The sequence below is a fragment of the Homo sapiens genome, chromosome 5 (genome assembly GCF_000001405.40).
Source record: "Homo sapiens chromosome 5, GRCh38.p14 Primary Assembly".
NCBI lineage: Eukaryota > Metazoa > Chordata > Mammalia > Primates > Hominidae > Homo > Homo sapiens.
The window spans coordinates 90862322-90887805 of NC_000005.10; the positions used below are offsets into that span (position 1 = coordinate 90862322).

The following is a 25484-nucleotide window of genomic DNA, read 5'->3' on the forward strand; positions in this document are numbered from 1 at the left end:
CCTTGCAAGGCTTGCTTTAAAGTCAGTATATTACTCACACACACACACACACACACAGACATACACATGCACACATACATGCACAGGCATGCACATTCACACACTCAACTTAAGACTTGAATTTAAGCTGGCTTTTATCATCCTAGGGAATTCAAAGTATGCATTACTTGAGTTCTGAGCATCAACTCCAGTAGTATATAGACTACCTAAGTCAAGATGCACAATATCTAGCATGACTCTGCAGTTCCTGAAGATACACTCTGTACTTGTGTGGGTGAATTTTGAAGCCAGACCCAGGACCTACACACCTGTTCCAGAACACCCCATGGAAGCCTTCCCAAAAAACGGATTGCTCTAGATTTCTTGGCCAAATTTCTAGGCCAAAAGCCTTGACTAACGCAAAGCTTCCCTTGTTGTGGAGAGCCTTGTCTACCTTGTTAAAATTTAAAAATATAACTCAAATGGTTTCTCAAAAAGAAGTTATGAGAAAATGAGTAACAAGACCCCATGTGGACCTTTTGCAGATGCCCAGTCCACTTATGCCAACATGCAGTGTATTCTGAAAGTTTGTTCCACAGCTTCAAAAGAAAACAAAATGTTAAATGAGTGCAGTGCCTCCTGTTTATTAACGAGGCATTGATATAACTAAACGGGTAAAAATGCAAAGCACATGGCAAAGCAGTATACATATGTCAATTGCTGTTATGTTTCAGTAATCCTTAGACAAAATAACCCTACTGAGAATAAGAGTGGGGTAAAAGCTTAAGTGAAAAAGCAAATAGGTTATCATATGCAGCACATTTAAGTCTTAAAAGGCAGAAAATATTTTTAAAACACATGTATACCCTGCCTTTAAAAATCTAACATTAAAAGAAATTTATATGAATTGCAAGATAAAAGATTTGTTGGATTAGTGCTAAGGTTCTAACTATCCCTTTGAAGTAGTGTAAACAGGTGAATTCAAACAAACTCAAAGATAATAAGAATAATTTTCTTCATACAACTTAGAAATGTAGAAGTTTAAGTTAAAAGTCATTGTGGAGAAAATAGCACACTTTCTTCCTGGTTTGGGCATCCAGTATTGCAAAGTTGCCTTTAAAATTCATAACTAACACTATTGTAATTACAGAACTATTTCTAGTAGATAAAAAAGGGGTAATTACCAAACCTGAGTTTTGGTAGGACCAGTCAAAATTTTATGACTGAAAAATCCTATTCACATGCCTGAATATTGGGCTTAACTGGTAAGTGTAAAGATCTTACTTGTCATGGAAAATGGAGTAGATTACAATTGCCATGTCATCTTTTCCAGAGGTACTGGGCAGAGGCAGGTGGCAGACCTGACATGCCTAGCTGCCCCCAAAGATTCTTGCTATGATGCTGTTAGAATCTTCATGGATTATTAAACCATATGTGGACTTTTTTGTTCCTACAGGTCTTTGCTTGGCTGTTCTTTCCCATATCTTCTGTGCCAGGTACTCCATGTTTGCAGCTAAACTTCTGACTCACATGATGGCAGCCAGCTTAGGTACACAGGTAGGAGAGCGCTGGCATTTTTGATTTATCGTGAGATGTTTGTGTTTCTTCTTCTTTGGTTCTTGAACTGAGTGTAAAAGTAAAGTTTAATCTCAACTTAGTTGAAATAAACTTGTTTAGTTTTGCAGTGGAAGAGAATGGGGACAGGAGAGTCATATAAGGAGAATCAGGCCTAAAATGCTTCTTTCTACAGAGAAGCACCTTAATATCATCGCTTACAAAAAAAAAAACTTCTTATCACAAAGCATCTTATTGTCAGCTAATATATGCTGAATGTATTTGTAATTTATATATACATTAAAATTAACATTTTATTAATCTGTTTGAAATATGCTGTGTTATAAATTCTTTATGTTTAGGGCATTAAGATGATATAAACTTTTAAAGCATCTGGACACTATGTATTGTTTCTTATAATAGTTTGATAGAACATTTTCTTTTGAAAAATCAGTTTTCTATGGTAGAAGAAACTGTGTGAAAAACAATGACTTATTAGCACACAATTTAAAGTATCTAGTTTAAAGCACTGTGTAAAGCACAGAAACCAGAACAAAAGATGAAATTAGATGCTTTTTCTATCCATACGGTGTTCATAGTCTAGAAAAGTAGATGTACATATAAATAACTAATTCAGTGTGATGTGTGAACATAGACCATTTGCAAACTACTCTGTGAAAATAGATGAAGGCTTAATTCATTTTTTTCATTTTTCTCTGAAGGTCAAGAAAGTCTTCATAGAGGAGATGATATTGAGCTGGGACTCAAATGAGTGAAAATTCAGTTTGTTGTTAAGGACTAAAAAGGGCCTAGACATTTATATAGGCAAAGGAAAAAAAGCATAATCACTTCTACTTTAAGGCTGAAATTATAGATCCAGGCAGAAAGAATATTCTATATAATGCTCTTATGGAGATAATTTTTAATATTGTTTTATAAAATTAAAAAATCCCACTTTTCTGGATGGGGAGACACTTCTGCAATGCAGACAATACTCTATTGATTGGGTGCTGGTCATATGTGTGTATTGAATTTGTGTGTATTTATTGTGCTGTAGACATGATTTGCACAGTTTTTTAGAATGCTAAAGTGCATTTATTGAACTCTGGATAGAACTTGAAAAAAATAGCGTTTGTGGTGGAGCTGAAATATAAAATGGAAAATTATCTTAAACATTGGGATTCTGTCACCCTTTTTTGTTCTAGGAGTGAAAATGACTGTAAATTCCATAACTCTGTTTTTCAGGGAATAATTAAGTGCTGGATTCTAAGCAGAGGTCTCTGATTGGTTTTTTAAAGGCCCTATGAGCTATGAGAAGTAGCAGTGGTTACCAAAGGGGCTTGCTTTGAATTTCACAAGGCTATTTATATTGCCTTTGTAACCTGCCTTAGCTGTCTGATCTCGCCTTTGCTTCTTGAATCTAAGATCTTAGAAAACCCGCCTTCCATAATTAGAGTTTACTTGGCTTTATTCACCACCCACTCTGGTGATTTTTTGGCAGCAGAATTTGTACAAGACTTAATTATAGCACTATAGAATTACAGACAGCTCTTCAGTGTCCTAGCAGACAAATTTGCTCGTGTCTAGGGATGTGAAAGACAAAACCAGGATTTCTATGTTGGAGCACTGACTTTTGATTCATATTGTACTTAACATTAATTTTGGACAAAACGGTTAGTCATATCCATGTTTTTCAGTATATTTTTAGAATACATGAAACAATGTGGCATGAAAAATCATGTAGTGTATGACTTGTGACATGAAATAACTAAAAAAGTATTTTCATAGCTCTTTTTTGGCAGGAAGAATTGGTATGTTATTGATAGAAAATAGTTTATTTCAAAATGCTTTATCTACTTAGATTTAACAATACCCTCTGAGTTAAGAATAGTTATCTCCCTTAAAACCTTTTAGCTAAGGCTTTAAAAAATTCTTAGACCCCCCAAAACAAGAAGCTGACTACAGTAAGTTGGGCTCCCACCCTATCTAAATTTTAAAGTCATGTTTATAGCTCCAGTTATAGAATCTTGCCAACAGGAGTTATTACAGTTCCAGCCTTGGATCTTTCATTTGGGATCCTCTGTCAATGTTATATTGTCATTTTTGGAGGTTAAATCAACTCTAGAGAAGTCTTAAAAAAATGCAGGCTTGGCCTGTGGTTCTTTAGCTAAGAGGGAAAATTCTATAGCTGACCTAGAGTGTTTGAGTTGTGAATACTTTGCAGACAAGTCTGCCAAGACCATTCATTTTCAAATCTTTATTAATGAACTAGGACTAAGTAGAACGGCTTTTGTGGAGAAGGAAAGAATGGAAATGTGGTAGTCCTGGACTTCCTTTTGGAGCAGTGTGGTATAATGGGTCCGTGAATCAGAAAGTCAGGAAAATATGCTCGTCCAGCTCTACTTTCTACTTCTAGAAATATGTAGACTATTATAACTATAATTTATTGTGTATGTGTATATGTGTGTGTGTGTGTGTGTGTGTGTGTGTATTTTCTTGATTGGAGGAATATAGATACAAATCCAAAGATTATTCCTGCTTTAAAAATCAAGATTCTGCTTGAATCTGGAGTTTGTCATTATAGCACCCTTGAGAATCATTGACTATAAAATATCAGTAGGTGGCAGTAGAAGATTTATTTTTCTCCCTTAAATTTATCGATCTCTCTTTAGCCATGATGGCGTTCAGTAAAAAACTTGAGAGATGCTTTCATAGTACTTCTTTAACTGGGCAAGAGGGTATTTGCAGCATAGCAAATACACATTTGTGGTGTCCTACCTTTCTCTTTTTATCCTCTTTATTCAGAATTTAATTAAATGCAAATGTACCATAAGAAAGATTGTACTCCACTGGCTTTGAATATATCTTTCTACTGCTTATATATGTTTAAATTCAGGGACATAAAATTAGCTTCATCATTATATTTATGAGCATTAAGTGTGTTATTGATACAGAAAAATGTTTTTATTATGTCATAGAAGCTTTGAGATAAAGGTCTCTATTTTCAGTTTATCAAAAAATGTACATATTTCTTCAATACCAAGTTATTTTTTCTCACTTATATAAATGAAAATGATTAAATGACAAGAAATTGTGGGGCTCTTCAAGTATGATGTGAAGAAACAGCAAACAAATTTTCATGGTATTGGGTGATATTTCTGAGAAAAACATCTAATTATATCTTTGGGATTTTTATCTTTGAATCACATTGCCAACCCATGTGTGCCCTGATAAGGCTGGTAAACAACTAGTGACAAAGAGCAAGTTTGCAGTTCAGGGTTCTCAGTTCTGGAGGTTCTGTCAGGAAAAGCAATCCTCCAAATCTAAAAAAAGAACAGAAGTTTCCTCATAGAAAACATGATGAAAAGATAGAACTGTATTTACTCTGATTAATAATACTTAACAAGGGAAAATATTTGTTTTTCTTCTCTATGGTTTGTTATTTGTACAGCATAAACACATTTTCTGAAACTAAATAGCAAATTCATCTAGAAATGTGTATAAGTCCGTACATTAACCGCAAGACTATAGCTTAGGGGTCTATTCTCTGGAATTTAAAAAAGTTGGACTGTTACTGTCTTTTGATCACTTTCTCATTCTGCAACATTTTGGGATGTCATTTTGCAATGTCCTGTTTCCCAGGGAGGATCCTACTCAGACACCCTTGCGAAAAGATTCTGCTTTAATCTGGAATTATGTCATTCTCGCTTTGAGTACCTAGCATCTTTGGGAATCTTTGTGCATGACTAAAGGCAGAAGTCCTGTGTGACTTCCCAAATGCTGGCTCCTTCTGGATACTATGAATCCTGGTTTCTGTTCCAGCAGCTTGCGCTGCTTTGTTGAGATTGCCAACTCAAGAAAGTCATTGTGTGAGTAAGGCTTGAAGACACATATGTAACAAGCATATTTTAATCAACTGAAGCAGAGTAAGATAGAGATGGTAAAATGTTCATCAGTCAGAAAAGAATTTTCCTTAGTTGGAAGTTTTTGTTAATCACTTATTAACCAGAATATCCTTTGTTATTTCTACTTTTTTGCTGAATAAAAAAGTATGTAAGCGTTTAAGTACAAGGATCAAAATTAAATCTTGCTTTGAAGATTAGGAAATTGAGAAGCAGAGGGTCATTTTTCAGTAGAACATTTATGATTATATGTTAGTGGAGATATAAATGGATCAAGAAAGTAGCAAGGAAAGTGTTTCCTAAACTTCAATGCAGGCATCTTGTTAAAATTCAGGTAGTGCATCAGTGAGTCTATGGCGGGTTTCCGGATCCTACTTGTTAAGTAAGGTATTAGATTAGCTATATTATGACCCCAAAACATCTCTGGTTGTTGTTGTTGTTGCTGCCACTGTTGCTGTTATTATTATTACTAAATCCATATAATCAAGCTATTTTTCTTAGTATGAAATTTTATTTAAGAAATCCCATTAATTAATTTTTTTAGTTTCATTTCAAATATTATTGCCTTTAAAACGACTGCACACTTGTATCTTTCCCTCATTAATGAAAGGCTGCTGCTGTGTCCTTCTGATTTTTTTTATTTCTTTTTTCTAAGAAAGGGAAAGGTCCTTAGGCAAGTGGACTAAGAGATAATTTAGAGTATGAACAAGGCCTTTATTCTGGTCATTCTCATAGCATTTGACAATTTGTAAAACTTCTCAGTGTTGTTTTGGACATAAAATAAACTACTAGAAAGAAGATATAACTAGTTCCCCTGCCCCAAGTTCATTCTTTTCTACCAAGATCCTGTAGGTGCCCTCCCCCCGCTAGAATAATATTGAGTATGTAAGCCTTTTTTTTTTTTTTTGTACAATTAACTGTATTTAAATGTGTCTTTATGTAGAGATTGGGGTATTTAACTGTATCTTTTCTTCATGTAGAGATTAGTTGGGTGAATATGAATAAAGACATTCTGCACACAGATATGAATATACATTTAAGTTGAATTTATTAAACTATTTGACTCAATTTAGGTATGCTCAATGGCATGGTGAAAATATTATTACATTCATGACTGAGTGACCATTCAACATTCAATTGTGAAATTAAACCAAAAAACTGAGCCAGACCCGCATCTCAGGTCAAGACCATTATTCATCCAGCAGTTCGACCACTTCCATCTCATCTATCATATGTACAATATTAAGATTGCGCAATGAGAAATACCAAGCAAGATGCATACATGCACACAAAGCGTGTAAATAATAACCTAAAGCACTAACCTCATAGTAAGAACCAAGTATATACAGAGAAAAAAATCTCTTCCTCTGTAGTACTGCATAGGCTGAGAATAAGGGACCCCAGTTTGCAAAGTCTCTGTGGAGGAAATGGAATCTGACCTGGTTGTTGAAGAATGTATAAGATTTGAAGACTTGGAATGTGACACATTCTAGGCAAGGAAAAGAACAAGAACAAAGACATCTAAGTTATAGTGATCCTGGCTGCTTTCACTTGAGTAAGGCTTGCAGATCCCACAGAGAAATAGGTAAGTTTTGACTGCAGGTGAGGCAGCTTCCCATTGTCTGAGAACCATGAGGAGTTACAGAGTCACCAATGGAGTTAGTCCAAAAAGTCACAATATGAAAGGAGTATTTTTAAGGATTGATCTGGCAATGAAGGATTAAAGGAAAAATGGACTAAAGAAGGTAAGAGACTCTAATTAGGGAGAGTAGAGAGGTTGGGTGGACTGCTTTTACCATCATCCGATTAGGATGGGTTCTGAGCTTAGACAGTGGTAATGGCAATGAGAATTCAAAGGAAGGAATAAGGACTAATAAAAATATCTTATTTTGCCTTATTAAATTTCTGCACTTTTCTTGTCTGTCTTTAAATCAATAAAAAAGCCACATTGCAAATTTTATTTACTAAACATTAATGTAATATTTATTACATATTACAGGAGGTAGAGATTATGAGGTAGGTACTAATATTATTCTCATTTTACAGATTAGGAAATTGTGACATAAAGAGTTTAATTACTTGCCATAGGTCACATAGTGGTAAGTAACAGAACTAGTATTTGAACACAGCAGCCAGCCTCCAGTCATTTTTAAAACTGCTATACTAAGTTGCTTCATAAATGAGGAATTAATGAAATTTACTCTGTCACCAAATGAGAGAGAAGATTTTTAAGGTGACTGTGAAACTAGTGGTTTCATTTGACTTAAATATGAAAGTGGAAAGGTTTAATAATTGGAGAACGATATGTGCAATTTTGAGCATGAGGGGTTTAAGGTTTCCATAGCATGGAGATTTAGATGTTATCTACATAAATGTACAGCTTCTTGACACTTTAAAATAGGTTCTCTGAGACAGGTTGGGTAGAGAACCTGTGTATATAGAATACATATAACTAATGTCATTAAGGGCTGGGCTTTGTGGCACTGAATTTAGTGATTTACACATATTGCATTATTTACTCTTATAACAACCAGATGAGATGGGTACTGTTATCATCCCTAAAGAGACTAAGAGATATTCAGTTACCTACCCTAACTTACATAGGTAGAACATTGAAGGAAGAAGAATTTGAAGCCAGATGTGTCTGGCTCCAAAACTCACGTATTTAGAGACCACGCTATGTGGAATGAGAAGGATCACTACAAGAGGATTGGAAAATGTTAAAGTTTTTGAAGCCAAAGAAGGAAAAAGGTTTCAAATGGAAAGATTTGAGCATCATGAGGAGATTAGTCCTCAAATTTGGCAAGAACAAGGTCCCTGGAAACTTGGAGAGAAATGATGAAAATTAGAAAAGGTTAAAGAGTAAATGGATAGGAAGAAAATGGATGAGGCTACCAGACCACACCTGTGAAGTTTGTCAATGAAAGAAGAAGGCAATCAAAGCACAGGAAGTGGGGAACAATTCTGGTGGCTCTGATCATAGGTTTGCTGCAGGGAATCTGGGCCCTGGGGCTGCCACACAAGGGGCAGGTCTCCCCCATCTCCTCCACTAATATTTTCTTTCCTTGAAAGAGAACTTCCTGTTGAAGTTTGTTGAAAGGGTAATAGGAATTAGTAAGTTTCTCTTTGATCCATGTGTTTATTTATATGTTGTGATTAATTTGAATTTTTTAGGTCTAGGCAAGTGACTCCCTGCTAATGCACCTAACTTAATCACCTTATATCTAGGAGAAAATTAGAGCTGTAGTTTGAGCTTTCTTTTTGCATTTCTTGAATCCAAATTTCTGTGATGGCCTTATATTTTTGGTATTGTTACTATTGAACTTTATGTAAACTTGCAATCAATCATGAAACAAATTTATAATTAGCAATTATCAAATAATTATATAAGTCATTCTACAACCAAAAATATTAATATTATGCTATTCACAAGTGTGTGCTTTGGAGGATTACAATGATTTTGGTACTCAAAATAGAGTGAAATTTGCATATTAAGGTATTGAATTCCCCAAAAAAATATTATTTTATTTTTGCTTTCTTTTTATTTAAGGCTACATTTTCCTTTATGTATCAAATTTGTCTTTCTTAAAGTCTCTTAATAATAAAATCGAATTCCTTTTCCTCAACAAGCTTTCAAAATTCAGCTCAAATAGACTGTTCTCACTACATTGAAAATAAGTGGACACTAAAGATACAAAAATAGTATCATGGTCACAATACTGGGAAATTCAGACTTTCCCAAGTGCTGAAGTAGCAAAGCAACAGAAAGAGTGAGTAATATTCTGAATGAGGCTACAGTGACATTATCATGTTTGCAACATAGCTTTCGTTACTAGGAAAATTTGTGAGGCAAATCCAGACTTTACCAAAAAATACCAGTTTGGAACCTTTTATTACAGCTTCAGTAACATAAACTATCCTTGACCTTTAAAAGCCTTCCTTCCTTGATGTCCCTGACTAGGCAAAAGCAACATATGAAAAAAGTTGTTTTTATGAATATTTAATGAGAGCTCTAAAGAACTGTAACAGATATGGAGCGTAGGGGGAAGTGTCTCAGTTTTGGAATTAGAGAGACTGATGGGGTAACATCTGTCAACTACAGTGGAAAAAAAATCACTAGGAAAATAATAAGAATGCCTGATTTGCAGCATTGTTGAGAAGATACATAGTGGATCATGTTCAAATGCCCAAGACACAAGATCCGAGGAAGGAGATTTCAGAAGAGGAGGGCAAGGAGGATTCCTGCTACCTCACGACATGCAGAGGCCCTTCAGGTTCTGCCCTGAGTTGAACACTGAATCCTTCCAGAGAACCTGAGCCCCTGAGCCTGCTTTTCTGTGCTTCAGGCTTTCTTAAATCAGCTGCAAGGGAGGGGAGAATTTGGGGCCCCACCCTTTTTCAATAATTGGCTCTGTCAAGCCTGTAACTGTGCCTTTCCTTGTACTATAGGTAATGTAGACCATGAAATTTGTTTCCGTTGGTCTGCATTATCTGTAATGGACATCATCAGTAATTTTGTTTATAGTTTTTAAGAGTTTTTTTTCCCTGATCTGAGTATTTTCTAAGTGTTTGTGTCCTCATTGCTTGTGTTGAATTGTTATAACCTTAAAAATTGGATATATATAATATGCTTGCCTATCTAGAAAATTATACATATGGTATGAGCTTGTGTGTGTGTGTGTGTGTGTGTGTGTGTGTGTGTGTGTGTGTACATTTGAAATTTGAAATAGACTTATATTTTGAAATACAGAGATACTTGGCTCCATAGCTGAAGGGCTAGAGCACTGGTCTTGTGAAAATACAGAGACACTTATTTAATGAAACAGTACTGCTAAGGACGATGATAAACACTTGATAAGTTAATTCCAGCACTCTATGGCATAGTCAGTATATGTATTATTGCCTCTGCATTGTGTGTAAGAAATCTGAGACACTAAACAATTCTGTGACTTGCCCCAGGTCTCAGATCAAGTAAGTCTATCTCCAAAGGGTGTTTCCATAACCCCTTCTCCACCCCTTTACAGAGGAGCCCTCAGAGACCCCGGTAGTGCTTCTTCCCTCCACTTCCTTGGAGCCTAATAGCATGGTCTTCTTGCAGACAGTTTTAACATTTACTCTGTTACTATAGTAAGCATGCTAGAACTAAAGACTTCTCTTTAGTTTCCTTTGTAACTCTGTGAAATCTTGCTTCCTTCTGTGAAACTTTTTAATGAGTGGTCCTTACAAAATTGGTTTTTAGATTTACATTGACCTAAACCCCAGGAAGTTGTGTCTCCTGAGCTTTATCTGCTTGCTGTACAGCAGAGTGCCTTTTATGTAGTTGCCTACCTGCCTGGCTGAACTTTAAGCTCCCAAGGGAAGAAACTGTTCTTTTTCATATATCACATCCAATGCCAAAAGGTAAAAGACCAAAATAACATCAGTCACAAAGACAGGGCAGCCTTTCCTATAGGCTAGTTGTGTGCAGTCTAGAACTGCCTTTCTGGCAGAGCCCTATTCAGATACCATCTTTCGGGAACATACACTCTGTGTTCTGCCAGGATGGGGGAGGAGCTTGGTTTCAGGCACTATGTTTTGGTTGTAAGGGCGAATGTTATTGCCAAACTGAAACATGTCAAATATCAACAACCAAGTGGGTTTTGTGGTCACATTTCATCTGTAGATGATGGCATGTGCAAGTGATTTTATGGGGTTTGATGTGGAAACTATGAGAAATTCCACAACTCCAGAGTGCACCTCTAAGCCCCAACCCCCCGTTTATTCTCGCTCTTCTGCAAGACAGAGATCAAGGTTGAATGAAAATCTTGAGTACAAATTCTCAATTTTTGCATTTTTAAAAACTTTTAAAGTATAGATTTCTTTACAAAAAATGCTCAGAGAAAAAAATTAAAAAGCCAGGCATGGTGGTGCACGCTGTAGTCCCAGCTGCTCTGGAGGTTGAGAAAGGAGAATTGCTTGAGCCCAGGAGTTGGAGGCTGCAGTGAGCTGTGATCACGCCACTGCACTCCAGCCTGGGCAATAAAGACCTTGTCTCTTAAAAAAAGAAAGGAAAAAAAAAAACCTTAGTTAACCATATTTGGGAATTAAATGCTTTTCTACTGTCTGTTTTTTGGGTTTATCCCATTTGTGATCCCTTCTGTCAATTGTCACCATTATCTTGCTCACCTAAGCCACCTTTCTTCTTTTATGGACTCCAAACTCTTCCCTGTGGTCTTAACCTGACCCCTTTCTCCATAGTCTGTTCTCTCAGCAGCAGGAGTGGTCCTTTTAAAGACTAAATTGACTCTAATCATTTTCCCTAAAACTTTTTGGTGTCTTCCTATTGCACATAACAGAGGGACTCTGACCTCCATCTCCCTCAGGATCAGTCTCTGCCCATTCTCTGATCTCATCTTCTACCACCTCCCCGTTCACCCAGCACAGCCACAGTGGGCACAGTTCTTTAAATATGCCCAGCTTCTTCTTGTCCTACATCCTGTGTTCTAGTTAATACCTAAGCCTGGAAAGTTCTGCCCCAGTGTTTTGCTCATCCGTATTTCCATTTATACAGCATTGACTCACTCAACTCTTACGTTACCACCTCAGAGTGGCCTCCGCAAGAAGACCCACCCCTACGGGGTCTCATCACTGTTATGTTTATTCATATCATATATCCATATCTAAATTTTCTTGTTCATGTATTGTATTCTGTCTCCTTTTCCCCTTTCTAATGGAATGTCAACTCCATTAGATCAGGAATTGCCTGTCTTGTTCATTGCTGTTTCTAGCACTCATAAAAAGCTTTTTGGCTCATACTAGATTTTCAATTTAAAAAACTGGTTAAGGCCGCGTGCGGTGGCTCACACCTGTAATCCCAGCACTTTGGGAGGCTGAGATGGGCGGATCACGAGGTCAGGAGATCGAGACCATCCTGGCTAACATGGTGAAACCCCGTCTCTACTAAAAATACAAATTAGCTGGGCGTGGTGGCATGCACCTGTAGTCTCAGCTTCTCGGGAGGCTGAGGCAGGCGAATGGCGTGAACCCAGGAGGCGGAGCTTGCAGTGAGTGGAGATCGCACCACTGCACTCCAGCCCGGGCGACAGCAAGACTCTGTCTCAAAAAAAAACAAAAAACAAAAAACAACCTGGTTAAATAAGAAAAACAATGAAGTTAAAAGAAATCTTAGGCTTTCTTATAAAGAGCATTCTTGGCAATCTAAAACTAACCTATCACCATTTTCTCATGAAAATAAGCACTTCCTATATTCTCAATTCCTTAAAGCAAAACAAAACCAGAACTGGGTATGGGGCACATGCCTGTAACCCCAGCTACTGGGAAGGCTGAGGCTAGAGGATCCCTTGAGTCCAGGAGTTTGAGCCTGCAGTGAGCTATGATTGTGAATTATGATTTCACCACTGCACTCTAGCCTGGGAAACAGAGCAAGACCCTGAATTTAAAGCCAGAATTTTAAAGAAGAAATTATTCATATTCTTAAATGTAATCTGTAGTGATCTACATCTTTTATAAACAAATTGTATTATAATTCTTGGTTTATAATTTAGATGTGTTCAATGCAGAATTAATTTTCCCAGAAAAGAAATGCTTATAAAGAGAAGTCAAGATCTCAAGCCAGCCACCAAAGCTTATTTGACTCTTAATCTGTCTGACTGTTCTGGATCCTAATTGAATTTGTAACTTCTCTTCGTGTTAAAACATTCTGATTTCTAACTGGGAACTTCAAGAAAGCCCATACTGCTCCCACAGCCTCTGTTATATGGCTCTTCTTCCTTCAAAAGTCCATAGAAGCAGACTACAAGGAAACCAGGTGGTGGTGGGGTCAGGAAAGGTGAGATGGAGGGGAAGAGGGAGACTTCTGGAAACTAGCTTCCTGGGTCAGGTAGGTGCTCTGCAAATAAGTTGGATAGCAAATGGTAAGTTTTCTGAAACTTGTGGTCACAGAGTGTGCAAAGAGAATTGGCTCTTCAAGCAGCTTTAGTAACTTATTAAGAAGCAGGTTTGGAGATGAGAGAACAATTATTGGAGTACAGAAAAAGTTTTCCTAAGTAATGTCTGTGTTCCAAAGGAATGAAATTTTGTGTTAAAATTTAGATACTCCAAGATAGATAATAACTAATTGTAAAAGCTAATTTTAATAGTGTTAACTAGTAAATGTCTGTAGTGCCAAAATAATTAAAATGGGCCATTAAAATATGGCTATAAATATCAAGGTTATTACATTGTTAGTATGTTGAAATTGAGAAATGAAATACCCCAACATACTGCAGGATGTCTAGACATAATGAGCAATCCTGTCATGTTTAGGTCATGTTTATAATTGTGATTAATCTACTCTTAGTTTCTGAGTTTATTGTATCTGATACCACACTCCAAAAGCCTTTTAACCTATGAGTAGTTGAAAGCAGTCATTACAATGCCTGGTATTTTGTAAATAAATGGATTAATAAGATATAACAATCACAAATCCTAATCCTCCTCTCAGAAATATTTAAAAAAACTAAAATCTTTGCATTTAAGGAGCATGGTTTTGTACCTTGGAAATCTTTAAATTAAATTGTTGGTTTAACTTTTGGAACACTTTTAAAGTGTTCAATTAAATATTTATTTTAGAAGGGCAATATAAGCATTTACAATTATATAAAAATATCCATGTAGGCACTGCTAACACAGTTTCTTCACTTCACAGGAGGACAAAGGCTGCAGGCATCTAAGAGATTAACCCCAGGAAGCCAGAGTAGCTGAATTGCCAGTGTTTTACCATTTATTGTTAACTCACTAGATACTCGTGAAACTCCATTAAAAAATGCCCTTGTATTATACAAACAATCCACACTTGAGCAACCTTTCACTCTAAGATTAGGAATTGCTCTTTGACAACCTTTGTCAGGGTTAATTATTGAAGACTTTTGTGTGAATTATAGGAAAGTCAGATGAGGTCAAGCAAGTCTGTCTACCACCTCCTGTTTGAGTCTTAAAGTAGCAGAAAAATCTATTCTCCAGGTAATGAAAAGAAGACCTTTTCTGAAAATTTTGTTGAAGCACAATTTAAATTTATCTCATGTTTGCAGTTATTCATTCATTGCTCCCGTTCTCCAACTATTTAGTGTCATATGTACTATGACGCAGTAATGTCATGTTATGTAAAATATAGTAATGACATAGTGAAAGACATAGTTTAGACCCTCCAGTAATTTTCTGTCTACCAGGAGGGTAATAAAGAAGTAAATAGATGAATACAGTAGAATGGTGTAAGCATATAATAGCAGTCTGTACAGCATATAGTGGGAACCAAAAAAGAGTTATTAATTCTATCCAGGTTGAGGAGTGGAGTCAGGAAAATCTTATAGCAATAAAAATGCTTAGCTGTCTTGAAAGATGAGATGTCTTCACCAGGAAGAATCTACATATAATTAAAAGACAGACATTAGTAAAGGCAGAGGAATGGGCAGTATCTGGCAGGATTAGTGACGCAAAAAGGATTGCTCTACCTTGGATTATGTTCTGTTTAGTTTGCAAGGAATCTGGGTTGGTTCAACTGGTTAAGAGCTGATGGTGAGGAAAGGAGAGCTACTCCTGGGCAGACCTGTTGGAAAAGTAGAATAGTCGCCAGACCTGAGCAGAACTGATGTATGGAGGAGCAACAGAAAATGAGAATTTTTTGGAAAGAATTTGGGTTCCACAGATACATTTTAGTGTCTCACAAGCATTTTTTTGGAAATGTGTTAACTTGTCTAATCTGAAAAGGCTGAAGTATCTAGTTCTGTACTACTGCGTATGGAGAAATGGAAAGTTTCTGTCTGTTAGGCATCAGTAGGGTTTCAGTGTGTGGTTTTTTTTTTTTTCATTTAATGTCTCTTACAAATTTCATATTTTAAAGAATAATTCCTCATAACATCCTCCAGTGAACCCTTTGTGATTAGTTTAAGTGAAGAGATAGGAAAAAATAGTTAGGTGTAAGGTATATTTTTTCAATGCTTTTTCTTTTTTTTAATGTTATTTCAAACACAATTTACTGCTATCACATATTAAAGACTCACAAGACATAAATCAATACAACTTTACCTTTTGAAATATTTAAATTTATATAAAAATATTAACATTACCTCTTACATGCCCTTTCGTGAAATTCAGAAAAAAAAATGAAACTATTAAAACTGCAGCTGCATGACTATGGAAAATAAATCGTGTGTATAGTTTCTGTGATATTACCCTTTGTGAATTTGCTATTGAATTCATATTCTTGAGGTAAAGATAGAGTTCAGACCTTAGAAAAATACAGTGATAATGCCACAGGAAAATATTTGTGGTGTTGTTTAAGATTCAGCGTGTGTAACTCTTTTCTAGGTTATTAATAGGCTTGGGAAAAACAATATAAGCAATTTCTCCTAAATAGAAGCAAGTTTGAGAGAATAGACTTCCGTCAGAATTGGCTACTGTTAGGGAGAAAGGAAGCTGAATTCAAACAGTTTTGTGAGAAACTGGAAAAGAGGAAGCAATTGAGCTTCACAATCGGTCACTGATATTTGATTTACTTTCTTTGGAGTTTACAAGTGGCTGCCAAGTTATGTCTAACGCACACTGCCTAATCCTTGGAGGCCTCTCTTCCAGCTGATGTCTGCGTCAGTGGTGGCCATGAGAGAGGAAGCAACTTGAAGAAAAGATTGTTTACCACTTAAATTTAACATGGAATTCGAAGGCTAACGTTAAGTGGTTTAGAACACCACTAGAATGCTGTTTTGTATGTTTGTGATTCCCGAAACAGTCACCCAGCATCTAGTCCTAAATATGAATTAAGATCTCATTCCGAAGAACACCTTCTTATCACTTCTTTGAAGGTAATTATGAAAAGTCAAAGATGTACTTCTAAAAAATGCCTCTATGTTCACAGTCATTTATGAGATTAAACAGATAACCAGCTGACTAACAAACTCCAACATAGTCATGATGGTGTCCTTAAGCAGATTATAATCTCAGGAGTGCTGGGGAGATTTATACAGATATGAAAGGAGGGCAAATCAAGGAGGTATGAAGTCAGCTACATGGTGTAGTGTAGGTGTCACACATTATTTGTTGTTGCACTTTACACTTTCCCCACTTACAGGTTACAATTTGCTTGAAGATTAAAAACTCGAACCATATTTGGTTGTTAATTCTCCTTCTGTGGACAGACTGGAACAAATGGCAAGAGAAACGATTGCCCAGCTACATGTGAGTCATTCTTTCCTGGGATAAGGCTACTTCAGCTTTAAGTGGAGAGTGGCTTGGGGAAGCTGTTGTGGAAGTAAGGTCACAGGGTTTGAGACATGTTTGAAGCAAGGCTTTTGTTCCAGTTCTTCCAGTCTGCATGCAAAAGGAAGGAAGGAGAACATCTACTAGCAAAAGCTGAATGAGGACTTCAACCTCACCTCCATGGTTCCCCACACAGGAGCAGAGCCCAGCCAAGGTTCCCACCTAACACCATCTTTCCAGAAATTGTTTTGAGATACATAGGAGAGAAAGGCCCTTATATTCACAAGAAAACCCAGCAATCATATTCATTTGAAAAGCAATCCATATGCACATTTTGGAAACAAAAGAAGTATCAGTACACAGGGTGAAATAAACTTGAAAGGAGATTTGTAAAGAAAAGAACAAGCAGTATTCATTCAAAAAAACAGAAGGTAGGATGTTATGGAAGTAAAACAGTTATTTTGTTTAGGTTTAAATTTTTTTAACTTTTAAAATTTGTGATATAATTTTGATTATGGGAATCATAGATTCCTGTTATCAAAGGAAGAATGACCTTTTCCCATTTCCTTTTGAGTTTCTTAAAATTTCAATTTTCTCCTTAATTATACTATTTTATGCTTTTTTTTTCTCCAAATGGTAAGGCGTATGTTTAATTTAAAATTTTAATTTAAATTATTTTGGCCAGGCACAATGGCTTGTGCCTGTAATCCCGACACTTTGGGAGGTCAAGGCAGGCAAATCGCTTGAGGTCAGGAATTTGTGACCAGCCTGGCCAACATGGTGAAACCCCTGTGTCTACTGAAAATACAAAATTAGCTGGGTATGGTGGTGCACGCCTGTAATCCCAGCTACTTGGGAGGCTGAGGCAGGAGAATCAATCGCTTGAACCTAGGAGGCAGAGGTTGCTGTGAGCTGAGATTGTGCCACTGCACTCCAGTCTGGGTGACAGAGCGAAACTCTGTCTCAAAATAACAATAATAATAATAATTAATAATTATTTTAAGAAGCAATTTTTAGATTTCTATTTTTTTCCTTTTATTTACTTAATTCCAGAGAAGTAATGGTATTATTAATAATATTCTTCTTGAGCTCCTGTTATATTCCAGAGACTTCAGGTATGCTACTTTATTTTATTCTCACAATAGTGCTATCAGTAGACATTGCCATCCTCATTTTATACTAAATAAACTTAAATCTGCTCATGATCCCATAGCTATGAAGCAGGGCTAAGATTTGAACCTATGTGTGTCTGATTCTCTTTTAACCACTAAATTACAAACACAGGTGTATAAAAAATGTGTGTATAAATATGTATATCATACATACATGAATGTATGTCATGTACAGTATCTGCTGTTTCCTTTTCCTGAAAATTGCTAAAGGCTTTAATCAGATAGATGGAATTTGAACAATCAGAGGTGGAGCTTGCCTCTCAGTGGGGAGAAAGCATTTTGAGCAAAGAAAACATCAGTGACACACATTGGGTTTAAGAAAGTACAGGACATGTTTTAAAATACACCAAAGTAGGACATTGACTGACATGTACTATATCTTTGAATGAGAGTGTTGTGGGTTAGCTTGAAAAGCAGATTCAGATCAGCCTATGGGAGGTCATGAAAGCTTAGTTTAGTAGTTGGGACTTTACTTTCCAGTTTTTGATGATTTTTATCAAGAAATGATATAAGAAGATTTATCCTGGAGCCACCTCTCAGCTCAGCTTCTCTGAACATTGTGGAATTATTATACTAACGTGCACAAACTTGTAACAATAGCAGCAACCATTCCAATATGTCAGCTTTCTGGAGAATATTGTCCGTATGTCAGGATATGTAAATAATTTCAAATTTCTCACCCTTAGTAGTCTCCCACCCATATAAATAAGCTTACAGTGAATAGTGGCCAGATTTTAGCAGTGAGTTTTCCTATGTAGTCCATTCCTAATCAAAGACTGCATTACAGGATTCATGGTTCTGTCTGGTATACTTAGTATTGTAACATCCTCTGCTTTCACTCTTTGGGGAAGCTTAACCTCTGTCTGCTCAATGATGTATTCTTTTCTTCATACCTGGATAATGTTTTGGAGTACATTTTAATAAAACCAGATCATGAGGGTAAACACCAATGTGAGAAGCTTCATTGTGCATCTCATCTTTAGTTGATAATTGATGGAATATTTTGTATTTCATGGATCCTACCTCAGTACATGGCCAAGAAACTGCTGGACTCCACCTGTGCAATTTTTGAAAAGAAATTGAATGATGCGTTCCAGGAAGGGTTTGCATTTGCTCATTATTTCTGGCTTAATCAAATTAAAGGAGAAGAATGAAAAACAGCTAACTCCAGAGCACCTGTAACCAGTGTTGCCGGAAATTATGACCCTGTTAGCTTGACATTGTGTGGTGAAGGGGTCTAATTATTGGACTGTTAATAATATTATTTAAGCCCTCATTAAATGTGCTACCATTTAATAGGATTTTCTGATCACAAATCTTCATTAGAGTCTTAGAAAGTTTTTTTTTAATCTTGTATTTTTCCATAAATTCATCCCATTGAATAACTCAAGGGAGGTGAACTTTGGCCAGTGGGTCACAGCAAAGGATAAAGATTGGGTGATGTATATCAGGGATGGGCGGAATTTGTAATAGTTTCCAGCTGTCTCAGCAGTATTAATGAAAGTATTAGAAAATAAATATGGAAAAATGATTAGAGATTCGAAAGAAGAGACATCAAGTATGCAATGTGGGACTTTAAAAAAAAAATACAAGATCTTGCTCTATTGGTCAGGCTGGAGTGCAGTGGTATGATCATAGATTATTGCAGCCTCAAATTCCTGGGCAGTCAAGCGATCCTCCTGCCTCAGCTTCCTGAGTAGTTGGGACTATAGGCTCAACTTTTTTCTTTTTTTGTGGAGATATGTCTTGCTTTGTTGCTCAAGCTGGTCTCCACCTCCTGGATTCAAGCAAACTGCCGGCTTCAGCCTCCCAAAGTGTTGGGGATTACAGGTGTAAGCCACTGCACCCAGCCTGCTTTTCAACTTTTGAAAACAAACCAACATTTATACCAAGGACTGAGCCAGAAGAAAAACTTCTAAATTTCATATATGGTAGAAAATTGCAGATTTCCTCACAGATGTAAAGAGATTACCTTTCATATTAATATACTCACCTTCAAACAGAAAGTTATCTATAGATTTTAGATTGAAGTTGATATTTTGCTATACTATAATTATTTTAAAAGACAGACTTTTTGCCTTTCTGAAAGTAGTTTTCACAAACCTTTTCAGTACTTCTTTTTGTATCTTTCTCATTAATTTTGAAAGAGAAGAAAGGAAATATTGAATATTCTGTTGAGAAAGGAAATATTGAATATCGTCTTAAGACCCATGTCTTTTACCTTTTTAATTCCTATTTCCTGATGTGGAGAGAAACTTGCTCACAGTCTCCTGTACTGATGGAGCTGTAAATCTAACATACATCCAGATCATTTCAAAGCCTATTTTTTCTCACTACACAGATGCCTATATATTTCTTCATTACAGCCTTTTAAATACTTTTCTCTGTGATAATTCCCACTTTAAAATTTCGAGAAAGCTATTGTTCTGGATGGGGAAACTCCCTTTGTGCCCTGCAGGGCCTTTGGGTACACTCACCCCCTTCCTGCTTAACCAGAATAAAGTGCTGAGTTTGCATTTCAAATCTAGAAAATAAATACCTTTTCTTTTTCTAAAGGAACTAGGGCATATGGATTAAGGTAAAGGAAGATGAGAAACAACATCCAAAAATACACATTTTTTAAAAAATAGTCAACTAATAAGTTCATGTTTTATAAAAATATAAGTAATAAATTATTTTTAACATGAACGTAATTGTGATTTCAAAATTTCAAAATTATAGCAATGTCCTTAAAATAGTGTTGAATTTAAAATCTTCACTTTACAAAATGTCTGTGACCATATTATCTATTATGCTGTTAGTAACTAGAGATTTTTAAGTAAAGATAGCTTTTTTGGGTAGTAATATTTTCATCAAAATTGCAGTGCAGTAAGAAAAAAAATTCAGTCTCTACCTTGAAAGTTTAGGGTTGGAACATAATCTTAGTGAGTATATCTATAAAACTGTTAGCCTCAATTATCTCTGAATTGATTTTGTTTGTTCAAAGACACAACTGTGAAGAATCATTATTCTTTCTACTGTGTTTTCAGATGAACCCTGACAGATCTTTCATGACAGATAATACTAAAAATTACATGTTCATCTGTGGGAACCAGAAGGAAGGTCATATCTTGCTTCTACCTCCTAGAATAGCTCCATGGTATTTCAGGCCATCGAAGAGGATTTTTATGCTGGAGAGGCAGCAAATATGTATTGATCCTTAAATAACAATCTAATTTCTTCTTTCTTCCTATTACTTTAGTAGGTATAAAATCCAGTAGTGAGGTATGCCGAAAATGGGGTGGTCTTTAGACTCCTGGTTAGTACTTTGAACATTTTCATTTTAAATAATGATTCTCTTGCAAACTGGTCATTCCTGTGATACATATTTCCCTTTCACAGCTTCTGAATATAACTTGGAGTGATACTGGTACAATGCTGCCTTTCTCTCCCACCTTCCAAATGTATTTGCATATGTGCAGACTATTCCTCCTTCTAACTGCTACTTCTCTGTTTTTTGCTTCTTCGGCCTTTCACCTTCTCACACCCCCATTTCCTAACTCCCCAAGGCCATCATTCTCACCCTGCATTTTGTAGCTAGCAGATATGTCCATGTGCATATCATCCTTTCACTTACGGGACTGTGGCATGGAGAAGTGAGTTGCAGTAACTAGACCTCTGCATTCCTGAGTGGAATGTTACAGGGCCTCTGCAGGAGTTGATGGGAGTGGGCCCCAGTGAGCTGGAAGGTTGTAGTTTGACAGTCGAGTTCTCTTCTCCTCCTTGCATGTAGCCCTTAGTTTGTGCATCATCCATAGCATTCCTTATTCCTCATTACTTCCCTCCTTGTCTCTCTCTATTGCCCTGTGTCAAGTTAGGAATCACATTCATAGAACTAAATTACTATCATGCACATTAACATTACTGGCATTAACCAAATGGTTTTTATAAAGGATTTATGGCCTTAGACTAGGATTTCTCAACTCAGACACTGTTGACATTTGGGACCAGATAATTTGTTGTGGGGCACTGTCCTGTGTATTGTAGGATGTTTAGCGGCATCCCTGCTCTCTACCATTCAAATGCCAGTAGCACACTTCCCCTAAAACATTTTGCAAAAACTAAAAATGTCTCTAGACATTACCAAACGTCCCCTGGAAGCCACAATCACCTCCAAATGAGTACCACTACTCTAAACAACCAATCTATTCTTTTCATCATTTTTTTCTGCACATTTTATGAAATGTATCTTGTTTTTAAATTACAGAACCGTTACCTCCTTTGACTTTAGGATGCTGGTTTTAACACAACTGGGTCATTAAATTGCTTCTGACTTGTTTCATATTATGGTCTCTTCAAGAGCTGCTACATTTTTACAGTATTGTTTTTGTGTGAGATATTGAAAAGACAATGTTAGTGGTATGTATCAGGTGCCTATGACAATTAATTGCCTGATCACTCTAACTATTCTTTGGAGACTGTCTTGGTGATTACTCTGCCCTCTTCCTTATGTGCTTTGTGACTCGAACCAAACTACTAGTTTCAACTTTTTGTAAAAACTAGACCCCACATTGTTGTTATGTTTTGTTTCTCCAGCCCAAAGCATAGCACAATAATCGTCTTGATTTAAGGTGACCAGTTATCTCCACCTGCCTAGGACTGTCCTGGGTTTAGCACTGAAAGTTCTACATCTCAGTAAATCCTTCAGTCCCAAGCAATCCAGGACAGTTGAATACCCTAACTGATAATTTCCTTTTATTTCTTTGGCAATCAAAGTAATGAATCCTACTCTCATTCCTGTACAATGGCCTGGGGAGTTTAGTACAGGGGCACTGAGGTCCTGTGGGTTGAGTTTGGCCCACAATCGTGGTATGTATGTTCTTACAGTATGCTTCCCATGGACCATGCAGCCCCACATTGTTTTATATCTAGCTCCTCTACACATGTATGTTAATAGTTTTGTGCCTGATAACCTTTGCTTTGCAACCCTTCATTTAAGGACCACTTCCAGTTTTATTTGGTGAAGAAAATCTTTAGCTCTCTGTAGATTTTTCACAAGACAGACTCATAGATGTACTTGTTGTTCAAGATGTTTTTCTGCTACCACATAACAAGAAATCAGCTTTCTGAAGCAATTAATAATCTCTTGGCAGTCTTTCTAAAGGTTTTCTTGTTCCCAGGTGATTAACTCAAAGACTTCTTAAAGTCTCAGGACTTTATAGATGAAACAGATAGCAATCTGTTGGATGATGACTAAGGATTGTTAAATTATCTTCTCCATACTTACATCTTCTCCATAATGATATGGAAATATTCCAACTTTAGCTTAACTCCTTCAAATTAAAGTTTGTCTCTACAAAACCTCCAGTTAAAGTGAAAATCTGTGGGAAATAACAAACCCATCAGCATATAGTAAGTTTATGGATCAAATGGTTATTACACAACCCTAGGTGAAATGTGATAAGCTTTGAGAGGAGATGGAAGGAAGCATTCTGAAGCTTAATTTGTCTGGCACAAGGTGAGGACTGAAAGGTGACAGTTCTAAGCAGTTAAAATACTGTGGAGATAAGGAGTGCCAGGAGAGGGGTTGGAAACAGGATATTGGTTAGAGGAAGAGATAGAAATGAATCTGCCCCATAATTTGTCTGGCCCTTTTATTCTTAGCCTATTGTTTTAAGGAGTTGCTTAATACTCGGGTCTTGAGGCTACTGCATGTAACATGAAGAAGAAAGGGAAGGAGGGAGAGAGGGAGGGAGGAAGAAAGGAAGGGAGGGAAGGAGGGTGGTGATGTTGCTCATTACCCACTCCCAGTATATGGAAGTGGCTGGATCAAGATCTCATTAACTTTAAAATATCGAATACTAATCCCGTGATGTCCTCCCCTGATTTTAGTGTAGCAGGATTAATAGTTGTACTTAGAAGGCACCAATGATCCTGTTGCTGACATAATCCATATTTTTTGAGCAGCATCAAGAGCTTGCAGCAACCTATCGTTCTGGAGGCTGGCTATTGGCACTATTTTATAGGAAATTGCTCAAAGGAACTCTGATCATATTCTCACTAGTATTACCTAATAGTCGGGAACCTTTATTTTCCTTCTGAAGATGGTTCAAAAAATTATATAGATCACCCACTCCTGGTTGGTCTTTGGCTTCAGCTTCTCAGACTCTTCCTCTCCTGGCCAACTACCAACTGCTAGAGGTTGTCAGCTCACTAGTGGGCTCACTTATTTTCTGTCTCTATAGCAGTATTTAACAAAGTACTGGGATGAGACATGCCTGGAGAGTTTAATAAAAATGCAGATTCAAAGCCTCCACCCCAAACATACTGAATCAGAATCTCCTCAGGAATTGTATACTAAAATTATAGAAATATTACTCCATACTCTCTCGATAAATGATCTCATCATTAGCCATAGCGTTAAGCTTTAACCATTTTTGTATACTTCGTGACTCACAAACTTTTATCTCCACCGTAAACCACTCTTTTAAGCTCTGGTCTTATATACTCTGTTGCTCCTTGATAGCTCTTCTTGGATGTCTCACAGGTATCTCAAATTTAACATGTCCAGATGACAAGTTTAACATCCGCTTGAAAACCATTCTTCCCAGTTTCCCATATCTTAATAATTGGGGCCATCATTCACAGAGTTTCTCAAGCATTATTCTTTCCTTGCTATAAGTGTATTCAGCTTACCAGCAAGACTTTTGTGTGCCAGCAAATTCTTTTAATTCTACCTTTAAATGATGCCATGAGTTCATCTCCTTTTTTCCGAATCCATCTACTACCTTTTGCCAAATGTACCACGTCTTATGTGACAACTGAAATAGTCTTTTAACTGATCTGCCTGCTTCACCTCTTCTCTCAACCAGTTTGCTCTCTAGTTAGGAGCCAGTGTCATCTTTTAAAGATGTCATGCGTGTCCTCTATTGATACCCTTTTACAGCTTTCCACTGCTCTTCAAGATCAATTCCACATCATAATATGGCTGTTAAGACTGTATCACCAGCTCCGGTCCATATCACCAATCTACCACCCACACCACACGGACCTTGCCTTCATTCCCTGAAGCTGTCGTGCCTTGGAACCTTTGTGGGTGCCGTGGTCTCTGCCTGGCATGCTCTTTTCACTGATCCTTGGCTGTTTGTATCAGAGGTTCCTTCTCTCACTTCAAGGATCAGGTTAAATGTCGCCTTTTATGGAGGGCTTCATCACTCTATTTCACTCTATTTAATCCTCCCATCTCTCCAACAGACTGTATTCTCTCAGTTCATTTTCCTGTTCTCTATAGTACTCAGCATGTTGTGGTTCTTGACTTATTCATCTCTGTTTTCTCATGGATGATACACTCCATGAGGGCAAAAACCATGGCTGTTTTCATCACTGCTGTGCACTCATTTTCTGCTGCAGTGCCTGATGAATGATAAGCACTGAATGCATATTTGTTATTACTTATTAAAGTTTTATTTGTTTGTCTTTAATACAAGGCCAAGAATGTCTTCAGTGTAGGGCCAAGAAGTGTTTATATGGGAAACAATTTGGGTGAGATTTTATAATAAAAAATAACAAATTTGATAGCGAAAGTGTAAACCTAAAAACTAAAACCTAACATGGAGTTGTAATAGTTCAACTCTACCTTGTCCCTCCTCTCTCATGCTGTTATGCAGAT

General features: G+C 36.7%; 1 protein-coding gene across 12 annotated transcripts in view; it reads left to right on the top strand.

Moving 5' to 3' along the window:
* ADGRV1 (adhesion G protein-coupled receptor V1) overlaps positions 1 to 25484 on the top strand; it is a 605641-nt gene that overhangs the window by 303525 nt on the left and 276632 nt on the right. For all 12 annotated transcript variants that reach the window (NR_003149.2, XM_017009963.3, XM_017009969.3 and 9 more), the window contains one exon: positions 1436 to 1536. Coding sequence is in view for 11 of the 12 variants with exons in the window: in XM_017009963.3 (XP_016865452.1) it covers positions 1436 to 1536 (101 nt within the window). In the remaining variant the exon portion in view is untranslated. The remainder of the gene's footprint in view (positions 1 to 1435; positions 1537 to 25484) is intronic.